This window comes from Homo sapiens, chromosome 2 (assembly GCF_000001405.40).
Source record: "Homo sapiens chromosome 2, GRCh38.p14 Primary Assembly".
In the NCBI taxonomy this organism is placed as follows: Eukaryota; Metazoa; Chordata; class Mammalia; order Primates; family Hominidae; genus Homo; species Homo sapiens.
Window position 1 is genome coordinate 129,237,813 of NC_000002.12, and position 24,579 is coordinate 129,262,391.

Here is a 24,579-nt window from a genome sequence, read left to right on the forward strand (position 1 = left end):
GTTCCCAGCATGCAACACCAGCCTGGAAGCACTGAAGTGTGGACTGAGCCCACCAAAGCCACAGGGGTGGGGCTGCCTAAGGCCTTGCGGGCCCAACCCTTCCACTAGTGTGTCCGGGAGGCAGCACATAGAGTGAAAGGATATTCTGGAGTCTTAAGACTTAATGTTGTTTTCCCAATTGGGTTTTGTACTTGGGACCAGTTATCTGTTCTTCTTTCTTGTTGCTCCCTTTTGAATGGTAATATCTATCCCATGCCTGTCCCATCATTGTATTTTGAAAGTAGACAACTCATTTTGATTACAAAGGCTCACAGCTGGATGGGATTTGCCATGGGATGAATCATGCCTTGAGTCTCACATGTATCTGATTCAAGTGAGATTCTGAACTTTGAATGTTTGAGTTGATGCCAGAATGAGTCAAGACATTGGAGCTATTGGGATGGGGGTGAATGTATTTTGCATGTGAGAAGGACATGAATTTTAGGGGTGAGGGACTAATGCTTTGGTTTGATTGCGTCCTCCAAATTTTATGTACTGGAAATTTAATCCGTAAATTCATATGTTGATGGGAGGTGGGGCCATGCGAGGTAATTAGGATTTACAGAGGTCATCAGAACTGATGGCTTTATAAGAAGAGGGAGCGACAGCTGAGCTGTCATGCATGCTGTTGCTGTCTAGTCATGTGATGCTTTCTGCTCTGTCATGAATCGGCAGGAAGGCCCTCACCAGATGCCAGCACCATGCTCCTGGACTTGCCAGCCTTTAGAATCATGAGCTATATAAATTTATGTTCATTGTAAATCACCCAGTCTCTGGTATTGTTAGAGTGGCAGAAAATGAACTAAAGCAGGTATCCGGGTGTTTGCTTTCAAGTTCTTTCCACTTTTTTCTATTTGAAAGTCCTTATAAAGAAGTTAGAAAATAGAGTGGGGGCACAACCTTGGCATGCTCCCATCCCCCACCTCTGGCATAATTTGTGGAAATAAATCATAACTTGCTTATTTATTTACTTAGAGATGGGGTCTTGCTCTGTCACCCAGGCTGGAGGGCAATGGCACAATCTTGGCTCACTGCAACCACCACCTCCCAGATTCAAGCAATTCTTCTGCCTCAGCCTCCCGAGTAGCTGGGATGTCAGGCGCATGCCACCACGCCTGGCTAATTTTTTGTATTTTTAGTAGAGATGGGGTTTCACCACGTTGGCCAGGCTGGGCTCGAACTCCTGACCTCAGGCGATCCATCTGCCTTGGTGTCCCAAAATGCTGGGATTACAGGCATGAGCCACTGTGCCCAGCCCACTTGCTTTTTTTTATTTTTTAAATCTGAGAAGGGAGGCATTTTGTGCATAAAATGTAAGGCGTTCAGTGGTCGGATCTCTGTATCCCTTGTACATTGCAGCCTTGTGCTTGGCTGTGAAAAGAGAGGTATGCTTTCTCTTTGTGTATCTTGTATCAAAATTAGCTCTCCTGCCAAAATCCTGAGAGACAGTGACATCTGAATCCACACACAGGTTCTAGAAGGCAGCAACCCATGCCAGGATTGCCCCAACAGCATTCTCTGCACCTGCCCAGTGACTGGCAGAGCCCAGGCTTTCATTCCTGTAGTCCTCAGTGGGCTGAGCAGACAGGGTGGGGTTAGGAGCACATTGCATTCTGTGCCAGGGTGCTGAGGAAGAATAAGGAAAGCCATATTTTAAATCAACAAGGAAAGGGAATAAAGATTTTTCAGGAGGTTCTAATTGTGCCTTCATGTAGGCTTATTTTGTAAACCAGAAAGCCATGCTAATATGACAGACCCTAAATGGGGAAATCAGCTGAAAATGCTTTGCAGATTTATTTTCATTATGCTCTCAACCAAATGTCTGTGCTCATTAAACAGACTTGTTGTTGATAATTTATCTTAGACTATGGGCACACAGTCGTTCCACCAGAACAACTGACCCTTGGTGGAGTTGACTGTGGGGAGAGAACTGTGTCAGCTCAGCCCTGACATCCCACCCAGTGCTGATCTGTCTCCAGAGAGGTTGGAATCACAGTGAGAGTCCTATACCAAGATCAGCTAGCAGCCTCTTCCTCCCTTCCCGGTCCCCTCCCCTACAGCGGCATTCACAGGATTCAGGGCAGGCCAATCCATGACTGTTGACAGTGGGGTTCCCACCCCCAGCATCCAGCCTACCCACAATCCCACGAACAGAGCTGGGTCCAGGCCCACGCATGGGGTCTGCACCCAGGGCCCACAGGCCCTCATTTCCGCACCTCGTACCTGCAGTCACAGAGCAGTCTGCTCTCCAGCAGAAGCTCTGGCTCCAAGTTGGACTTGGATTTTAAGCACAGCTCTGATACCCACTGTTACTGTCATCTCTATTCTAAGGAAAGTTCATACCTCGTGCTACTGAGGGGAGGGCAAAAGGAGAAGTGAATACAAATGGCCTAGCCCATTTGCTGGCCAAAATAGCAACAAATACCAACACAACATAAATAAGGGGAAGGTCTTAGCTGTTCATTCCATGCAGAAGGGCCTCCTCTCTGCCCCCACACTCTCTGTGAGGGAAGGAGGAGTGAATTATCTAACTGGTACATTTGGGAGTAGAAGCTGGGTGCATGTGTTCAGTTAGCTTCTCCTTCTTTTCTCTTGGGGATTTGCCACATTGGGGGACCCTCGTTTGGTTCTGTCCCTTCATGCCATGAACTCCCAGGCACAGGCTTTGCCCCAGAAAGGGAGGCTGAAGCTCTTCCTTGCCTGGCACTGAGCCGGCTGGTCCCATCTGGGGTTCAGCTGAGGAAGCCTCATCCCAGAAGCTCCCCCACTGCAGGACCATGATCTAATGTCCACCTGTGTGAGACCTCCTTTCCCAGAGAAAACAAGAGCAAGGAAAACTACACCAAAGGGGCAGGCAGAGTGGTGACATAAGCCCCGTCACAGCAGGAGAGGTGGCCCTGTGCTGGCTGCATGTGCCAGGCAGTGAGGTGGATGGGGCCAGTTGCCTTTGATAAGTGGGGATCGGGCAGACATGGCCTTTGGAGAAGGGAGAGGTCTGCAGGGCAGAAAGTGATTTCCTGGAAGTAACAAGATGTGCGTTGGACCTTCCTGGTTGGTGTGTGCATTATATGATAGGTGGATGATTCCAAGCCATTTATGAGAGGTCCTTCACTCCATGGTGGTGGCAGGCCCAGCTACGCTGCTCACTGTGATGTGAGATTCAGCCAGGTGACCTGAGACCCTCACTGTAGTCTTCCAGGGAGACTGAGAGGGGACACTAAGGGATTCGCAGCCTGTCCACGCTCTCCTTGATGCTTCCTCATGCCCTCCTCACACCGAAAGGGCCCCATTCTACAGGAGATGGGCAAGATGAGGCCATGTTCCTGGCCGCCTGTGCCTGCTGCCTCTGCAAGGCACAGGCCTCCTGTGCTGCAACCACAGTCAAGGGCTCCAGGAAGTCTACTGCAGAGGCTGTGGAAACAGAGCACTGGAGACTTGATTTATTTTCCTTCCCTTTCCTGTTGTCTCCTTCTTATTACTTGAGAAATTGTATAAAATAATGAACACCCATTTCCTCACCACCAGCTTTAGCAAGTTTGAATATGTTGTCCGTTGGCTTCAGATTTTTAAGCAATCTGAGGATCTCGCATACCCCTCCTTGAGGGCATCCGTGTCCCTCATCCAGAGATAGGAACATTTGTGTCAAGTATCAATAAACAATTGTTCTGCATCTATTCCCATCCTCAAAACATAAAGTGCTAATTTGTAGAGTTTTAAAATGTTACTCTAAATAATATTTAGTAACATGTTACTCTAAATATGATTGTGCAATTTGCTTTTGACACAGAATTGAATATTTTTGGAATTTAAATATATTTATAAATGTATTAGGCTGAAATCCTTGAAACTGCTGTTATTGTAGGTTTGAAGCAGTTGAGCATTAGGATTTGTACATCACTCAATTGCACAGCTCTAGTAAATCATTTTTAACTTTAATTTTATATTACATGAATCTATCACAATTTATTAATGCCTTTTACTGCTGGTAGTCATTTAGGGTGTATCTAGTTATCCCCCATTATGTTCCCACAATAATTATTATACATGTCAACTTGGGAACACTGTATTGAAATATTCTAGAACTGTGCTGTCAAATGCAGTATCACTAGCCTTATATGGCTATTTAAATGGATTAAAATTAAACTTAAATACAATTAAAAATTTAGATCCTCAGTGAGAGGATTAGCTGCATTTAAAGTACTGAATACACACGTGACTAGTGGCTGCTGAGTTAGCACAGAATGTCCTCACGTTGCAGAAGGTATTATTGAACAGCGCTTTTCAAAGAAGGAACTTGTTTTTCTTGATGCTCTCATTCCATCAGTTTTTGATCTTATGTTTTTTATTTTTTTCACTTTTTCTATAAGTTAGATGTGTTGCTTTGTTTCTTGAATTAGATGCTTAGTTCATTAATTAGCAGTGTTTTTTTCATTGCTAATGTAGGTATTTGAGACATTCTCTTTCTAGGTACTATTCAGCCAGTGTTTCTACACAGTGCTTTCATTGTCATTCATTACTGTACTCATTCAACAACTATCAGTCAGGTGCCTGCTCTGGGCTCCAGTCCTGCTCTGGATGCCGGCACACAGCAGTGAATGAGGCATCCACATTCATGGCCCCGTCTGCTGTTGGAAGACACACATCATGAAGAAGCAGCGCTGCAGAGCCAGGGTACAGTGGGGCTGCAGTGGGGCTCAGGGGTTCGGGGCATTTGGAGAGTGAGAGTGGGAGGGAGCCACACGGAGCAGAGGTGCATCCTGCAGGGCAGAGGACACAGCTGGGGCAAAGGCCATGAGGCAAGACTGGGAACAGCACCCAGGGATATGTTACAATCTTCCCCATGGGCAGGGTGCAGGCAGAACAGGAGAGTCACATCATCTAGGTGATGATGGATGCAGAGATCTGTCACAAGGCTCTCTGTGAGCAGGGCCCAGGCAGGAGCCTTCCATCACCCAGGTGTTGGGCCCAGCATTATGTCACAATACCCACAGTATGTGGGACCAAGACAAAAGAGGAGTCCCATCACCTAGGTGATGAATCCAGTGACATGTCACGATCCCCCCTTTTGGCTGGGGCCAGGCACGAGAGGAGAGTCACATCTCCTAGGTGATGGATGCAGAGATATGTCACAAAGCTCCCTCTGGGTAGGGTTCAAGCAGTAGGCTCCCATCACCCAGGTCACAATACCCAAAATATGTGGGCCCAGGCAAAAGAGGAGAGTCCCATCACCTAGGTGTTGGGTCCAGTGATATGTCACAATCCCCCCTTTTGGCTGGAGCCAGGCAGGAGAGGAGAGTCACATCACCTAGGTGCTCGGCCCAGTGATACATCACAATTTCTCCTTGGGCAGAGCCAAGCAGTAGAAAAGAGTCACATCACCTAGGTGTTGGGTCCAGCAATATGTCACTATACACCCTGAGGGGTGGGCCCAGGCAAGAGACTCACATCACCTAGGTGAGGGGTCCAGAGATATGTCATGAGGCCCCCTTGTGGGCAGGGCTCAGGAAGGAGAGGTAAGTCACATAACCTAGGGGCTAGGTCCAGTTATATGTCACAATTACCCCAGTGGGCTGGCCCCAGGCACGAGAGGAGAGTCACATCACAGTGGTGCTGGGCCCAGCAATATGTCACAATCCCCACTGTGGACAGGTTCCAGGAGAAAGAGGAGAGTCCCATCACCTTGGTGCTGGGCCCAGCAATATGTCACAGCACCTTCTCAGGGCAAGGCCAAGGCAAATGTGTAACTTCGACTTGGTGTTGGGGCCAGCAATAGGTCACAATCTCCCCTGTGGGCAGAACCTAGGAAGAAGAGAAAAGTCACATGAGCTAGATTTATTAAGGTTTCTATAAGTATAACTTCTACTGGTTCAGGAGATTTAGTTATAAATCTCCTTTTCATTTTTTGGTGGTTACACTTAAGCTTTGAGGATATGTTCTTTATTTCAAAATGTCTAAAGTTGATCCATAATTTCCACTTTTGGTCAACAAGTGTAAGAACTTTGATACAGTTTCTTGAAACTCGAATTACTCACTCTCCTCATTTTGCATGTTTCTTCCTACCTGATGTTTCAGTTCACCTTGTTTCTATATTTAATTCTTTCTTGCTTGATATACTCTATCCTGACAACTTTCTTTTTCTCTGTTTTCATGTTTGTCTTAATTATTTCTTCAGGATTAAGTTTATTTCACCATGAAGCATATATTTTGTTAGTTCTTTCAGTCTTTGAGTGGTTAACTTAGCCTTTGCTCAGAAACATCTTTATTTGAATAACCTTCAGTTCTCATGCTCACCTTGTAGGTCGTCTTCTGGGTTCTGTTATTATAAAGAGAAGTCTCCTTGTCCTTCCTGTGCAGATACTCTGGCTAGTTTTCTCTTGTGGGTTGCAGTTTCTTCAGTGGTTCTTGGTCTGGATTTATTTTCATTCATTCTGCTTGGTGCTCATTATAATTCCCACATGTGCAGAGAACAGGACCAGGAGTGAGTTGCCTAAAGAGAGGCTATTGTGATTGAAAACCAAGTTCTGAGATCAGCTCCACGCATCACAACCTAATTGCATTTATTCCTGTCCTATTTAATAAACTACTATCTCTGGAAATTAAGATTAAGGCCATAATTTGTTTTTAGCTACAAAGAGAAAGCTGGCCTGCAAGGTGGGAAGACAGGAAAAAATCTAAAGAGCTGTTGGCTTGGGGGCATCAAGGAGCCTGGGAGATAGGCCATAGTCCTGGGTTGTTTTCCCAGCCACACACACATGCCAAGACCCTCGAACAAAGACTAGCTGGTCATCAGCTCCTCATAGATGGGGCAACCTCCACACTGATTTGGTGAGCAAGAGCTAAGAGGAGAACCTGTGCTCAGTCAATAAGGAATGCCCTTACCATCAGATGCGTGCTTGCTTGAAAAGAAAATTGAGATAAGTTCATAGTCAAGCTTTATCGAGACATACCATTGACTTCTTTTGCTTCAGAACATGAGCCCTCTCTGTCACTGACTGGCAGGCACTGCCCGTATTTCTGATCCTGACTCCTTTAGGAAGCCTAAATGTGCTTGATCTGAAGTGCTATTCCCCTCATTGACTGAGATAGGACCTGCTCTATCTCATCAGGAAACCCGGACTGCATTTTACAGCTTGATGGTGTCAGCATGTCTCAGCAATAAGTACGTTACAATCAATAAATATATTAATCTAAAAATCCCATTTGTTCAGATATTGTTAGTGGAAAATAAGGTTTGCCCAAATTGTAGGAACATCTGAATTATTTTGTTTTTACTGGAGGCTGAAGGAAATTAACCAAATTACCTAAGATCCCCAGCTAGCAATGTTTCAGTCCAGTTTTCACTTTCTCTCTTCTAATATCCCTCTTCCTGCTCATCTCTCTGGGAAAAGTAAGAAATATTGAGACAAAAGGTGAAAGAAATTTTATTAATATTAGAATGTGTTCAGCTGCAAGAAACAGAAAATTCACTGTCTTCAATCTTAAGGATATCAATCAGTCACTTAATAGTAAGTTGTGCAATGGGCCGTTTAAGGGTTTATTCAATAAGTTCATCAAGGACTCAGTCTCTTGCACTATGTTAGATTTTTATCCTCACATAATTTTTCCAATCTAAATATATCTGCAGCAATTCCAGGCTGCATATTCATCCTAGACTCCCAGACATGCAGGATGTAAATGGGGATAAAAGTTCTCTTCTTTTATTGGAAAATATAAACTTTCCCAGAAGCCTCAGAGTAGATGTCTTCTTATATCATTGGCCAATATCAGTCACATGGCCAGCCCTAGCTGCAAGGGATGCTGAGAGTGAAAACTTCCAGCAAAATTTCTCAGTCCAGACACATTGCTGCTCCAATGCAAAATTAGGTTTCTATCAACAAAAATGTGAAGGAAAAACTTTTAAAGGAACTCACACATTTCCTCTGGAAATTGAGCACTCATGAGTTGCCGCTCAGAGCCATGTCTTGAGCATGAGTTGAGTCCCCCCAGCAGTGGCTCAGGGTGCTGACCTCCCTGCATAATCATGGGCCCTACACCACTTTCCCTACAAATGCCTTCTCACCACCCTCTGCAGTTTCCTAATCTTGGTCATCAGTGCCTGGCCCTCAGAAGGCTGTCACTCATTCAACAGCATTGGCAGAGAGGCCGATGTGCACAAGGCCCTCTGGTGGGTGCTTGAGGACTGGTATCAAATCACCTGTAAGTGAAAGTAAGGAATATGACAAGTAAACAGGTGTGGGTACTTCAGAGGAGTATCATAAAGCTATGAGTACTTCAAAGGAGGAAGGACCCCTATCCAAAAACAAACATTCTATTTACTCCCTTCCAAAAACAAAAATATTCTACTAAGTCCCACATCTCCATCCAGCTACTACCTATTACCTTTCTTGCTTTCCTTCTTTTTGCCTTACGGCAAATTTCTTCACCTCGAGTTTGTAATTTACTCTGTATTCTTTTTCTGCCTTCACTTACAGAAACTGCTGTTCTCAATGTCACCAATCACATGGACATCACAAATCACTTGCAAAGTCAACAGACTCTTGTCTGCCCGCACAGTCTTCAGAAAATGTGTCCAGGTGAATTCAAAGCAAGGCATTCTAATTAGAACAATGTACAGAAGGAAAGAAGGTATGAGAGTCTGAGGGGAGTTTGAGGAACAGAAAGTAGACAGGTATGTGTACAGTAATAAATGTAATAGATGATGTTTTAGAAAAGAGTAAACAGGGAATGCGTTCTGAATGCTTTTGAATACCCAGTTGGACATCTGGACCTCCTCCTACACTTATGAAACACCTCCAAAGAGTTTTACATGTGCTCTAAAAATTAAAGACAAAGTTAATCCCTAAACACCCACCTCACCCTCCTCCCCACCCCTCCTGTACAAAAAAACAAATAAGAGAGCAAAGGTAATTCAATGGAGAAAGGAGAGGTTTTTCAAAAAATGATACTGAAACAAATGGACATCACATACAAAAAAATACAACTAGACTAAGACTTCACTTTTTATAAAAATTAACTCAAAATGGGTAATAAACCTAAATGTAAAATGTGCAACTATTAAACTCCTAGAAGATAACATAGATGAAAATTCTGGGTGGCCTGAGGTTTGACTTTTTGATACAGCAACGAAAGTGCAATCCATGAAAGAATAAATTGATAACTTGGACTTTAATAAACTTCTGACTTGTGAAATACATGGTTAAGAGAATGAAATGACAAACTAACAGACTGGGAGAAAATATTTTCAAAACACATATTTGATAAAGAACTGGTATTCAAAATATACAATCTACTCTTAAAAGTCAATAATAAGAAAACAAATGACCCAGTTACAAAATGGGCAAGATATCTGAACAGATACCTCATCAAAAAGATATACAAATGCAATTAAGCACATGAAAATATGTTCAACATCAAATGTCATCAGGAAAACTTCACATTAAAACAATAGCAGTAAAACTATTCTTTATATTATTGTAAATGACTTTATGCATTTGTCAAAACCTATAAAACTGTACAACGCAAAAAGTGAATCCTAATATAAGCTATAGATTTTAGTTAATAACAATATATCAATATCTGTTCATCAACTGTAGTAAATGCACCCAACTAATCCATAGTGTATGAGAGTTCTTTATACTTTCTGCTTGGTTTCTCTGTCAACCTAAAACCACTCTAAAAATAAAATAAATTAACTTTTAAAAATCACCAATAATAGCCCTCATTGTGTGATTCTTGTTTTCTCATCCAAATGTTGATCTTCTCCAGATGCATTACTTCATTATCAGTTTCTGCACCTAAGTTTCATTAGTTAGAATATAATATCTTTTAAAAAGATACGTTGGTTTTGCTTTTCTTGCATCCCCCAAATACCTATTAAAAGTTCAGAGGTGGTAAATACATGGAGTTAAGACTTAAACCATAATTTAACAACAGTGAAAATTTGAAATAAGATAATATTCTCCTTGGATACAAAGGCATTTTAGCTTTGTGCTAGATGAAACTTTTAAGTTATCCAGTCTCCAGTGAACATTTATTCCAGCTCATTGAAGTTGAATATTCAGAGGACTCACTGAATTAATTTGTGCAGGAATGGTATTTTTAAGGGAGGCCATTGTAAATTCTAAATCACGAAGACTCTCTTGGCACCTCAGACAAGAATATGCTATATTGTGAATGTAGCATTTAATTCCTAAAAATGAGCAGAATGTCTTCGTCTTCTTATTTTTTGTGTGTGTATCAGCATGCTGTATGCAATTCTTTAGTAAACCACATTTAGAAATCAAATAGGAATCGCTAGGCCCGAAGGCACCTTCAGAGGTCATTTGGGTCACTTCCACATTTCCAGTGTTATTAAACTCCCTAAATTAAATCTCTCAGCTTATTAAATCTAGACTGTGCTAGTGCACAGGTTTCTATGTGCTCACAAAACCTGTCTCTTTCATTCTGGGCACAGGCATAGACCACACTTTCCAGCCTTCCTTGTGGTTGGTGCAATCATGTGACTCAAGTCTAGGCAAAAGATTACAAACAAAAGACATATGTTTTACTTGGCCCATCCAAAGCTCATACAGCTGATACTCCTCCTATTTCCTTAACTGCAAGAAGAAAGAAAAAGTCCTCTAAGGATCCAGGATTAATGTGACCACAGACTGAAAGGAGCTTAGACTTAAGGGGCCAAATTCCTGGAGAGAAAGGAAGTTCTTTGAAATGACTGATGTGCTGGGGCTTGTGCTGATAGAAGGATGAGAAGCCCAGGAGAAAGTCAAGTGAAAGAAGTGGTTTCACAGATCCCTTGGAGCCTTCTGAGAAGAGTAAAACAAAATTAAGACAAGATTTGCCAAAAAGACCAAGGTCCCAGAGAGAAGGGAAATAAGCCTATTCTCAAGCTAGAACACAAGAGCAGAAAGTGGTAAAACCCACAGCTGAAGAAACAGAACATTATCCAGGGTCTCGTCAATGTTTGGTACATAGTGAGTGGCCTTTTTTGTTTGTTTGTTTGTTTGTTTTTGAGACAGAGTTTCACTCTGTCACCCAGGCTGGAATGCAGTGGCACAATCTCTGCTCACTGCAACCTCCACCTCCCGGGTTCAAGCGATTCTTGTGCCTCAGACTCTGGACTGAAGTAGCTGGGATTACAGGCACCCACCACCATACCCGGCTAATTTTGTATTTTTAGTAGAGATGGGGTTTCACCATGTTGGCCAGGCTGGTCTCGAACTGCTGTCCTCAAGTGATCTGCCCACCTCGGCCTCCCAAAGTGCTAAGATTACAGCATGAGCCATGGTGCCCAGCCATGAGTGGCTTTTAATTTAATGTTATGAAGCATAAACAACCAAATCAAGAGAAAAATCCAACAATGGAAATATAGCAATGAAAAATATACTAGTAAATATTTATTATTAATATGGTCAAGAAAATAAATGGCATGATGGAGAAATCCACCAGAGGACTGGAATGTATTAATATCGAAAAGAATCAAATTGAATTTTTAAAACTGAAGGTAACAAAAATGAAATTAGGAACACAGCAGGTGAGCTTAATAACAGATTGGGCGACACTGAAGAGAGGATTAGGAGATTGGGAGACATCAAATGGAATAAGCTCTACTTACCTGTCTCTCTGAACACTAGTGAGAAAGAAAGATGAACGATACACATGAAACATGTCAAAACATAAGCAACCTAAGGACAATGATGAAAATATCTAACATTCATCTAATTCAATATCCAGGAGGAGAGGGCAGAAATAATGTATCAGACAAAATGTATTAGGAGTGGATGAGAATTTTCTAAAACAAATGAAAAACATGACAACAGATGTAAGAAGTACTATGAATCTCAATGTGGTCGTTTCCTACCACCGCTGTCACGAATTACCACAAAATCAGTGGCTTAAAACAGCACACATCTATTATCTCATAGTTTGTAGGTCCCAAATCCAGGTGGGCTCACCTGGCGCCTCTGCTTAGAGTATCCCAGGGCTGAAATCAAGGTGTCCGCAAGACAGGCACTTACCTACAGACTCCAGAAAATAATCTGCTTCCAAGTTCATTAGGTTTTTGGCAGAATGCAGTTCCTTGCTGCTGTAGAAGTGAGGTTCCCTTTTGTTGGCTATCTGCTGGGATCCCCATCAACACTTTCTGTTCACTTGATTCCCTGTTGTATTGTACACTTCATCTTCAAATGGCAGCAGCCTCTTAGTCTTCCTCACTCTTCAAGTCTCTCTGTGAACGTACAAGATACAATTTTGCTAAGCTTCCTGCCACTGTATTATAAGGATCCCATTTCTTCTGGTTTCCAATACCAAGTCACTCACTTCCCTCTGAGCCCTGGCTAGTAGTATCCTTCAAGTACAGATGTCTACTAACAGTCTGTTTACTGCAATTTAGGCTTTTTCTAAGGTGATTTCTAAGATTTTTCTAAAATTCTCCTTATTTTCCTCAACAGTGTCCCTATTTAATAGTCTGTTCAAAGGCACCTAGGAGTTTTCTAGCATGCTTTCCAAAATTCTTCCAGCCTCCACTCACTGCCCAATTCCAAAGCCATTTCCATCATTTTCAGGCATAGAGAAGTAGAGGGAATGCCAAGTACTGGAAATAGCAAGGGCAGCGAACTAGGATGGCTTTGAAAAATTCTGGGAATAGACAATAATCTGATATTGCTTAATAAAGTGCTTATTAGGAAGTAAAGGTGGGCTGGGAAAGACCTCTTAGAGAACCTTGAAAGCCATTGTAAGGTATTTGCAGTCTCTTCTGTAGACAACAAAGAGGCATCAAAGTCTTATTAAGACTAATGAGAAAGAAATTTTGCACAGATCAAGACAAACAAAGAGAGTTACTTGAGGCAATCTTAATGAAAAACATTAAATTCCTAAAGTCTAATAGGATAAGAGGTAGGGTGATGCAGTAGAAAAAAGGACAAAGCCTGGGTTTAAGACCTCTCCCAGCAGCTATACGCTCAGTGAATTGAGGCAAGTTCCTTAATGTTTGAGTCTCATTGTATTTATCTGTCTGCAACAGGGCATCTCTGAATTGGGGACTCTGATTGGCCCAGAAGGAATCAACTACTATGTCTGTGTGCATAAGAACAGAGATAGGCAAAGTTGACTGTAAGAAATGGAACATCCGGGCCACGCACAGTGGCTCACACCTGTAATCCCAGCACTTTGGGAGGCTGAGGCGGGAGGATCACGAGGTCAGCAGGTCAAGACCATCCTGGCTAACACAGTGAAACCCCATCTCCACTAAAAACAAAAATAAAAAAAAATTAGCTGGTCATGGTGGCACATGCCTGTAATCCCAGATACTCAGGAGGCTGAAGCAGGAGAACTGCTTGAATCCGGGAGGCAGAAGTTGCAGTGAGCCAAGATCATGCCACTGCACTGCAGCCTGGGTGACAGACTAAGACTCCATCTCAAAAAACAAACAAACAAACAAATAAAACAAAACAAAACAAAAAGAAATGGAACATCCTTGAGGCAAGCAAAATCTAAAGAATAACTGCTTAGGGTAGAATATTGGTTAAATCCTGAGTCAACGTCTTGACTTAAAAGTGAAAGGTGCAATGGCAAGTGTGTAGCACATCATGGGTGCACCACCCAAATCCTCTCAGCCCTTCTCACTCCAGCCACTACTTCAGTGACCGGGGCTGAGCAGCCTTGTGGCAACTTCAGACAGATGCTACCTGACTCTTGCTTCCTGCCATGGGATGAGCTGATGCCATGGCCTGCAGCATCTGTGCTCCTCAGCCTCAGTCCTTGCACAACCCAGAGATGCCAGAGAGTGAACGCCTTGGGCTACCTTTCACCAAGCGGGGTTAGGGGCTGAGAAAGAGCTCCTAAGGCTCCTCAGAAATGTTCTGCCCTAGTGATGGCAAATCCCATACTCATCCTTGTCTTGCCTTTCCCCTCATCCGCAAGCTCTCCTCCTACACCTGTAGTCCCCATTCTTGATCTCAATGATCACATCCCAAATAATCTACTTGCATGCAAGCCTCTGTTTCAGGTCCCTGCCTTCATGGGAACCCATGCTGTGGAAAACACTAGGTAAAAATAAATTATCTACAGAAAGTCAGGGTCAGTCAGCAGAGGGCTGTGAATGTCAAGGAGCCACAAAAGCAGAGTTGGGCAAGCAAACAAATGCAGCAGATCTGCATGCCAGGGCGGTCCAGGGGAAATCCCAATATTCCAAATACAGTAAGAGACCCTAGGCATCTTGGCTGGGCACCACAGATAACGTGCGGTTTCTTTACTGAACTTGCCCATTCAAATCCCATCTGGCCAAGCAGTTTCTCATCACTGTTTTGCACTGTATGGTCTATGGCAGAGAAAGCACTGGTCATAGCCCCTATTTGTATTTGGTGCCCACAGTGAATGCCCCATTCACAGATTTTGAAGCTGCAGGCTGATCACCAGGATCTGGATGGTCAAGGCCACAGGCCTGGAGGCAGCAGGCCTTCTCTGCGCCTTGCCAAGCTGGACTTTCTCACACTTGCTGCACGACCTGCTTCTCAGGATAGGTGTGAAGGTTGAGGAGTGAGAGAGGGCATGCCAATGGCCAAGCACAGTCCCTCGCACATAGTAGGTGCTCTGGAAAGGCAGTTACACTGATAGTAGACTGCAGGCAACAATCAGAGGTCATGGGTTCACGTGGGAGGGCCCCCAATCTTTCTGGGGAGTCCTGCAGCCTCATCCAATAGACATTTGTCCTCTTAGTCCAACAAGCTATCTGCCCTGGGTGTCAGCACTGAATTTTCTCTGACATTTTCCCTTTTCTTTTCTTCCTATAAATGAGAAATGAAGTATAAAAAGTTGTGCACAGCCTCCTGCCTGCATCACGGCTCTTAGGAGAGATGTTGGCATTTAAATGCCAGACAATCTGGTGAAGTCAGGATGAGGCCAGCCTCAGGCTTGTCTTGGGGTCAGGGGTAAGGGGCAGGGGTCCCCTCTGGTTTCTGATTTAATAAGAGGATTGCTTCCAGCCAAATGCAGGGCCAGCAAGGTCAGCACTGAACACACGCAGCTCCACTGAGAAATAAAGGGGCCAGATGGTTATTACACTGTGTGTGTTTCTTATAAAAGGCAAAAAAAAAAAAAATTCTAGAGTGACTGCAGCAGAGGCTGTTCATCAGCAGAGGCACAGTTCAGGCAGGCCTGTGGCTTGGTGCTGCTCCCTGGGGGAGGTGTACTTGTGAGGAGTTTCAACACGCCTGCAGATCCCATGAAGATTTGGCTGTGGGCAGAAGCCACAGGGATGGAGAGAGGCACAGCCACTTTGTGAAAATGGAAAACACGCCTCCCTCATCTTAGCTTTCTTAGTTTCCCATTTTGATGCTCCAGAAAGCTTCTTAAATTACAGCTGATGACCACTGTAGCAGCTGACAGCCGTCACCACTACAGTCGTGTGAGTCCGACCTCATTCTGCCCCTCACACGGTATAAACATGAGCAACTCCATTGATCACACTAACTTTAGTTTGCTCTATTGCAAGTATGGACTAGAAACATGTGACTCACCCTCTAATAACAAGGTAATATCAGATAATGTACCTAAGCCCCTGGTGCACATCAGGCACTCCAGAAACACTGAGTGCCCCTCCTTCATTCCTGGAGTCAAATACAAGGGCATTGAGCAGCCCTGAAGGAAGCCTCATCATCCCTTCTGGAGGAGGTGGATGAATGAGGAGCCCCAAGGAGTCACGCTGTTCAGCCCACTCAAACAAGGCTTGCGCCTGCTCCATCTCAGAGTTCGCTGTGGAGCGCCCAGCACCAGGAGCTCTCTGTGCTGATGTGGCCCTCTTAAGGATGGTGGTGGCATTGTCACTGCTCTCCCATGTTAATTAACTGGGTTGTTATTCCAAAGTGTTAATGGCCAGAACTGTAATTCAATCAAGTAAATAACATTTCAAGCAGTTAATAAAAGAAATGGAATTTGTAACCACCCATAAATGTGATTTTGTAGACGTAGGCCATGTCTAAGCAGTCAGTGGTCTGTCCTTGCCACACAAATGTCAGACAACCAGGATCACAAATACTGCGTGGGAATCTGTTGAGAATTTTTCTCTCCATAGGTTTTTAAAGCAAACTGTGTTCCTTTTTGCCTCTTCCCCCCTCATTAACTTTCAAAATGTGTTTTTCTTAAGGTTCCACCTTGGGGAAATAGCCATTCTCGCCCACTGATGCTGCTTGTGAATTCAGTTTTATGAGGAGCTGAGATTCCAAACACCACCTGACTTGTTATCGTTCTTTTTAATGCCCCCAGCTTTTTGGTTATAATCTATTTTCCATAACCATAGTTAATACCATGCTGTGTCCCTGCAGGGTTTTCAGCATGCATGGGAGAACATTACCTTAGGAGAGTTGCCACTTCCTCCAGTGGAGTTTCAGAGTCTGGTGGACACCTTCCTTCAGCCCCTCATTATGCCATCTCTGAGCCCCACCTCTTCCAGCTCTGAGCTGGGTCCTGAGGACTCACAGATGGACTGGATGCTGCCTCTGATCTCAGAAGATCCGCGTCCACTCTCACACCATTGGACCTGGCTATGTGCATGTCCCTGCTATGACTACCTCTCCCCTGGTGGCACGGCTGAGTGTGAGGTCACCTGCCAGAGAAGAGATAGCTGCTCCAGCCCCAGGGCCCCTTCCTTGCCCAGGGCCTGTGCTAGAGGGTCTGACAGAAGCTGCTTCATCTATGCCAGCCTTCCATCTGTACAGGGCTGATGGGCCGACTTGGTTTTGATTTCTCTCTTAGTGCCTTCTACTTCCAAGTGACCATGTTGCATACATTTTAGCAAATGAAGGGGCAATACGAGTGTGGAGTGACAGAAGCAGGGACTCAGAGGGGGGGCGGGGACAGCACCAGGTGTGTAGATAGCACCTGTCAGGAACGTGAGGTGCCTGCCTGGGCTCTGTAGGACTTCGGGCTTATCATGCTGCTCCTGCTCCATTCCATTAATGCTTCAGTCACCCACTCACTTACCCATGTGCCCACACACCCACTACTCAGCTACTTACCTGCTCCAACCACCTACTCTCCTACCCAACCTCTTCCTACCCCCACCAAACATTGTCACCACTCACAGACAAACTCACATATTATCCACCCACCTCAGTCATCCACCCACCTGGGTACTTGGCTACTAGGCTCTCTTTTAGCACCCACCCATCCGCCCACTCAACCCTCCACCTAGACACCCACTCATCCACCTAGACACTAACTCACCCACCCGGCAAGACACGTATTCACTCACCCACCCACCTAAACATCCACTCACCCACCCATGTATACACCCACTCACTCACCCAGACACCCACTCACCCATCTAGATACCCACTCATCCACCCACCTAGACACCCACTCACCCACCCAGCAAGACACCCATTCACTCACCCACCCACCTAAACATCCACTCACCCACCCATGTATACACCCACTCACTCACCCAGACACCCACTCACCCATCTAGATACCCACTCATCCACCCACCTAGACACCCACTCACCCACCCAGCAAGACACCCATTCACTCACCCACCCACTTAAACATCCACTCACCCACCCATCTAGACCACCCACACACTCATCCACCCAGACACTCACTCATTCACCTAGACACCCACTCACCCATATAGACACCCACTCATCCACCCACCTAGACACCCACTCACCCACCTAGACACCCAACAATTCACCCACCTAGACACCCACTCACCTACCCACCCACCAAGATACCCATCCACTCACCCACCCACCTAGATACCCAGTCATTTATTCATTTAGATACCCACTCACTCACCCACCCACCTAGATACCCAGTCATTTATTCACTTAGATACCCACTCACTCACCCACCTAGACACCCAGTCACTCATCCACCTAGACACCCACTCACTCGTCCCTCTAGACACCCACTCACCCACCCACCTAAACACCTACTCACTCACGCATCTTGACATCCACTCACCCACCTGGACGCCCACACACTCATCACATAGACACCCACTCACTCATCACCTAGACACCCACTCACCCACCCAGCTAGACACCCACTCACCCACCCACCCACCAAGATACCTATTCATTCACCCACCTAAATATCCACTCACCAAAACATCCACTCACCCACCCATCTAGACACCCACTGACTCACCCACCTAGACACCCACTTACTCATCTAGGCACCCAAGTACTCATCCACCAAGGATCACTCACCCATCTAGACACCCACCCACTCACTCCATCCATCTACACAACCACTTACTCACCCATCTAGACACCCTCTCACCCATCTACCTAGACGCCCAGTCATCCACCCATCTACACATCCACTTACTCACCTGCCTAGACACTGACTCACTCATCCATCTACCTAGACACTCACTCACTCATCCACCTAGGCACCCACCTACTTACTCATCTAGGCACCTAATCATTCATTCACCCACCTAGACCCTACCTACTAACTCACATAGACACCCACTCACCCATCCTCTCAAACACCCACATAGACAATCACGTACTCTGTCACTTGCTAAGCTGCCCCTTACTCCTTCACCTTCTCACAAAAGGTTACTGACCAATGACCCTCTGGGATCCGTGAGCTTTGTTGTGGGGAGGAAGAGGTGAATCAGGCTCAGATGCCAGCTAAGAGGCTCTTCTGGCCCAGTGAGGGACACAGACAGTGGCTGTATCACTGAGTGTACAATGACAGAGAAGAGCAACGCGAGGCAGGAGCAGAGAAGAGAGACATCACTCAGCCTAGGAAGACAGGAGAGGAGCTTTGAACTCAGAGGCTAGTCTCCAAGTAAGAAAAAAAATGCTGGTAGATGCAGGAGCAGAAGTCTGGAGCTGAGAGGGATGCAGCTTCTCTAGGAAAGTCATGGGGTAGAATAAGGGTGGGGCAGGATGGGTGGGTGGCAAGAGATGGTCTGGAGAGACCAGCAGGGGAAGCTCCTACCAACCTGAGGATTCTTTAGCCTCTAAAGAGAGCTACGACTCAACGTGGAGGCAGTGGAAAGTGCTAACATGGCTATAGGCAGGAATGACTCACTGCAGATGTGCATTTGAGAAAGGTCTCTTTAGTGAAGCAATGAGGGCTTTGACTTCATCATCTGCAAAAATAAAGTTATAGACTATGGTCTCTCAGATCCTTCCAGTTATCTAAGTTTAAAGGTCTCCAAGGGTAGGAGTGGGGAAGGGAGAGCAATTAAAGGGTTGTCCTCATTTTGCAGAAGACCATACTGAGGAAGCACAGGAAGTTAAATGACTCCCTCTGTTCCCACTCCCAACCCCAGAAAATATCTTAGAAGCCAAAGAAAGACTCTTTGCTTCCTGCTCCAAGCCAAGCTTGTCTTTGAACCCAGCAAACAAACACTTGGCCTTTGTGGTCTGCACAGGTGTGAACTCTGCCTTGACCTGGGGCAAAAGCTATAACACAACCAGTCAAATGACTGCATAGCCATCTTCACTAGTACCATTACCCAAAGATGCTGGAGATCTTTATGCATAGATAGGATAAACAAAATCGTGGCTATTCATGTTTAGTAAGCAAAATTCCCTCACTGAAAGAGGACCCTGGCAGAAGTGGGCTCTAATTCACCCATTCATCTGGTCCCGTCTGCTAGGCTGGAACACCATTGTGTTATTACCTGTTCTTGCCACAGCTTAGACCAGTAGAGACTGCAGCGAATCTCTGTCTAGATTAACTTTAGCCACATCCTCCATTGCAGGAACTTTACTAGATCTAAAGACAGAGACTTAAATTCCAGGCAAAAATGGGATGATTCTCAGTTTGACAAGTTTTTCTTTCAAAGCCCCAACCAGTCCAGTTTCCAGGCCAATAGGCAGTGGGCCAACCACCCTTCTTAGAAGACTTTCCTCTAACCTCTTCCTGGCCAAGCACAAGGTTTGATGACCATTCTCTTCTCTCATTCCATAGCCATCATGATGGTGATGCTCTCCCAGGGTGGATTTCTAATCACGATTTAGAAATTTAGGAAAAGTGTTAATTACACATAGACCCTCATCCGTGCACAATTTACACCCACACAAGTCTCATCCCCTTTAATGGAAATTGTGCCAGAGTCTTTCATTCCACAGCAATTCATTGAATGCCCATCATGTGGCAAGGTCCCAGGAGAAACACAGCAGTAAAACACAGCCACCTTCAAGAGACAGGCCATTGAGATAATAATTAAAATATACTTTGATAAAGCTATAACAGGTGTCAAAATAAGGATGACAGAGGTTGTGGGGGATGCCTGCCTCAACTTGAGGGTGCACAAGGCTTCACTAAGGATTGGTATGTGGACTGGGTTTTGAAGAATGAGGTAGAGAATGGCTAAAGAACACCCTAGGAAATGGAGGAGATTTCTGTAAAAGCTTAGAGGTCTTCAAGGGGTTCTCACACCTGCAATTCATCCCATATGAACAGGTGTAGAGGGATGGAAAGTGGTGGAAGATGAGATTGGATTATGAGAGGGGATGTGTGGAAGCCTACAGAGCTACTCTGCAGTGTCTGGATTGAAGTGTAAAGGCTATGGTAGTTCTCTAAAGAGTTTTAATAAATTGAAAGACAAAATCAAATTTGCATTTAAAGAAATTCTTATTACAGAATGGAGAATAAATGGGGAGCAAGCATGACTAAAGAAATATAGTATAAAGTAAATTTAATTAAAGTAACTAAATTAAAGAAATATAGTATAGATGCAATCTAGCCAAGATATGATGAAGATTTATCAACAATAAGTACAAAGAATGTATATCGAAGGTGGTAAAGGGGAGGAATTCACAAGGACCAGTTTTCCCATCAGATGGGGAGAGTGAAGAGTTGAAGAAAGAGTTAACTTTTCCAAGATGCTGGAATTCACCAAGACAAGCAGGAGGAGGAACAGGATTTGGGTACAGAATCACAAACTTAGCTTAGGATCAGTTGAGTGTGTGGTATCTCTTGCACACTAATGTAGAGGAGGAGTGTGGAGGGCAGTGGGCTCTATAGGTCTTAGGTTTTTAAATTGAAAAATTCAATTTTTTTGTTATTTAAAGTAAAATTGTATCTTATTGCAAAAGGAATAATATTTATTGAAGAATATATGAAAAATAGAGAAAAAGAATAAAAAGTGAATTAAAATTCCAAAATAATTTTCCTAATCACAGATAGACACGATTAATATTTTGGTATTTATTACTTCTATGCATATGCAAACCACAAATATTCCTTCAAGCATCTTCAGGTCTATCTACAGTCCTCTGATGTTTGACAAGGATGGTTTGATCACTCAGTCCACATGTTACAGGAAACCCAGCATTTTATTTAACAAATAGGCAAAAGCATTGTTGTGTTACATTCAACTTTCACTCCAATCCTCTGCTTCTGCAACATGCTTAATCCCACTCTCTTCTCTTCCTGCAGTTTCTGTCTTCTTTTTCCTTACTGATTCTGTAAGTTTCTGTCTTCTTTTTTCTTATTCATTTTTTTCTTATTCTCCACAGCATCACTATCCAAAGGCTCTAATATGCAACAAACTTTCTTGAAGCACAGACAATTACTTAATGGATAAGGTAGTACAGGCAGAAGCCATGGTTTTGTATTAGCTATCCCTGTGATGATATTTCATTAGCAACAGGGAATTTGTGTCTTGCTCCTGGTCTATTCTCTCAGTTGTCCTCAGACCTGGCTCACTGTCATTATCTTGGTTTATTTCTGACTAAATATTATTCTCTTACCTTTCCATTGCTTGTTCTGGTCCATGATATTCCAGTTTCTTTATTAGGATGAGCAATTTATTCCTTTGTTTCCAACACTAAATAAGGCTCTGGACATAGTGTTAAACACCAAAAAAACCCAAATGTACGCATAGAAACAAACAAACAAAAACATTCAGATGCTTGGCAATTGCTGTTTTCTTATATTAGACTTAATTTCTGGACAACAATGTGAACATATAATTATTTTTGTGTGTATTTTTCTGCACCGAATTATATATTTCTTACAATGCAATTTCCAATAGTTTTATAGCACTCCAATCTATAACTCTGCCAAAGTTAAATTTACTGATAACTTATTATTAGACATTAGCCTGTTTCCTTTGTTTTTCACTATTCTCAATATTTGAAGGGACTCTTTTTTGGTAAATCTTTGTCCTGCTTATTCCTGAAATACTTCAAAATGGGCAATAAAGACTGCTGAGTATCCTGTCTAGAATAATTTTCAGTGTATCTCTGCTTTTAGTTGTTTCTAAACTATTTTACCACTATAAAAATAGTTAATAATTGCTAGGCGTGGTGGCTCACGTCTGTAATCCCAGCACTTTGGGAGGCCAAGGCGATCAGATCACAAGGTCAGGAGATCGAGACCATCCTGGCTAACACGGTGAAACCCTGTCTCTACTAAAAATACAAAAAATTAGCTGGGCATGGTGGCGGGCACTTGTAGTCCCAGCTACTCGGGAGGCTGAGGCACGAGAATGTCATGAACCTGGGAGACGGAGCTTGCAGTGAGCCAAGATTGCGCCACTGCACTCCAGCCTGGGCGACAGAGCAAGACTCCATCTCAAAAGAAAAAAAAAAGTTAATAATGCAAATGATTTTTTTCATAGAAAAACAACTGAATTGTGTCCTGTGTAATGCAATTGGAGTGCTGGCCAGTTTAAAAATTCTTTGTAAATTAATTTCAGCTTTCCTGATAGCTTGTAAATGTGTGTCCTTTCCATTCTCCTTTGAGCCAGTTGTAATAACGTATTTATTTCATTAAAGATGAGATAAATGCCATCTTTGATATGTATTTATTTTATATTTTTACAAGATTCATGATATTACTTTTCTTAAAAAAATTATTTAACATTCCCTTGACATAGATTTCTAGAAGTAAAACTATTTGGACAAATTTTATACATTTTGCTATGATTTTTGATATGTATTACTAAATTTTCTTCCCAAAAGATGGCATTGATTTATATTCTCATCAATAGTATATGAGATTATCTATTTTTACACATTATTAATATAGATGTATTATAATCATTATCATAATTTTAATACTTTAATAAAGTAGAGATGAAATTGTATTTTTGTATTAAGTTACATATTTTTCCTTTCAGTAAAGGTGTCTTAGAGAACACTCCATTATCCTACCCTTCTGGTTTCCAGGAGGAAGATTTTTCTCTAAATACTCTTCTTTCCCTCCATTCATTACTCTCCCTGGAAGTAAAAGCGGTTAGTTGGTTGGTAGGTGGCAACATTTAGCTCCATGTTTCACAATTAGCTGGAGCCAGTGGACCAAATGCTTGATCTTTTTCTAGCCCCCATCTTCCACTCAGGCCAGGGGGAGCAGTGACTTGGGGAACTGTGATGCTTTTCAGGTGTGATCTCCAGTGGGCCTTCTCATGCTCCAGACTGTGTCCAGCATATCTTTTCTAGCTGTGTCTTTCTGCCCAGCATGTTATAGTAAGCCTGCTGACTTTGTCTTATTTCTCAAGTGATTTAGAACCTGTGTAGGAAATATGAAGTACCATTTTGTTTACTTGGTACTAGTCATTTGCAGATCTTCATGAATAAATTGTCTATACAGAGCCTTTGCCTGTTTTGGTCTTGAGATGTTCATATTTTTCTTTCTTTGTGATTTGCAAGAGATCTTGATATAATAATGATAATAGCCCATAGCTGTCACATGTGTTGACTGTTATCCAATATTAGTGCAAATACATAAATACATATATGTGTATATGTGTATGTTGTGTACATACACATATAATTATACAATAAATATACATATATACCCATACAATCACATACACACATATGTGTCTTTGCTTTTTCTTCTTTAATTATTCATAAAGTCCATGCTTATCCAAAATTTCAAGTTGAAATGAGTTTGTCAGGGATTGTGTTGGTCACTGTTTGAATTTCATAGAGAAGCTTCTCAAGTTATTGTGACCTTACTGTGTCAGATACAAGATTTAGTAGCCTGTGGGCATAAACAAGATGTTAAGAGCTTTGGGTCTGAGGAATGACCACCCTCATAGAGAGTCCACTACAGAAGCTCCTCCCCTTTGCCTTGCAAGGCCTGGGGCTGGCAGTAACTGGGATGAGGACTTCCTGGATTTCCTTTGGTTGTGCCTTCTGGAATTCAAGGTGGCTCCACTGGAAGTGGTAAGGGCCAGTGACTCCCCCTATTTGCCTATCCTTACCTCCAATGCTGCTGGGTGTCAGAGAGTGTTTTGGGAATCATGCTGGGATTTTTTTCTTCCATTTACATTCATAGTTTTCTGTGAAAACTATTCCTTCATGCAGTATTTTGGTGACTGGTCAACATTTCCCTAAATCCAGTTTCATGTCATAGATCTATTGTCTGGAGGAGATTTGGGAATGTAATCACATCCTTTCCTAGTTTTTAGTAATGGTATGGATTTTCCCCCTATTTTTATATGTGTTTAGTGAGGCTAATAGCTAAAGATGCAGAATAGGTAAATACATATATTGCAGCTACCATCTTTGCTAAAACTTCTATCAGTGAGTATAAATTTGGTTGGGAATTGTGGATTTAAAT

General features: G+C 43.3%; 2 long non-coding RNA genes across 5 annotated transcripts in view; one reads left to right on the forward strand and one right to left on the reverse strand.

Moving 5' to 3' along the window:
• Positions 1-4,360: 4,360 nt before the first annotated feature.
• The window catches only part of LINC01854 (long intergenic non-protein coding RNA 1854), a 31,719-nt gene continuing 11,500 nt past the window's right edge, over positions 4,361-24,579 (reverse strand). Inside the window, exons 2-5 of one of the 3 annotated variants that reach the window (NR_122040.1) lie at positions 12,054-12,262; positions 7,341-7,417; positions 6,331-6,537; positions 4,361-5,838 (exon numbers count right to left, since the gene is read on the reverse strand). This is a non-coding gene — a long non-coding RNA (long intergenic non-protein coding RNA 1854). The remainder of the gene's footprint in view (positions 5,839-6,330; positions 6,538-7,340; positions 7,418-12,053; positions 12,263-24,579) is intronic. The other 2 variants (NR_122041.1, NR_122042.1) reach the window with 2 other exon arrangements.
• The window catches only part of LOC105373612 (uncharacterized), a 45,936-nt gene continuing 26,765 nt past the window's right edge, over positions 5,409-24,579 (forward strand). Inside the window, exons 1-3 of one of the 2 annotated variants that reach the window (XR_007087235.1) lie at positions 5,409-5,552; positions 8,511-8,707; positions 13,058-13,322. This is a non-coding gene — a long non-coding RNA (uncharacterized LOC105373612). Of the gene's footprint in view, positions 5,553-8,510; positions 8,708-13,057; positions 13,323-24,579 lie in introns of those variants that run through there. The other variant, XR_007087234.1, reaches the window with a different exon arrangement.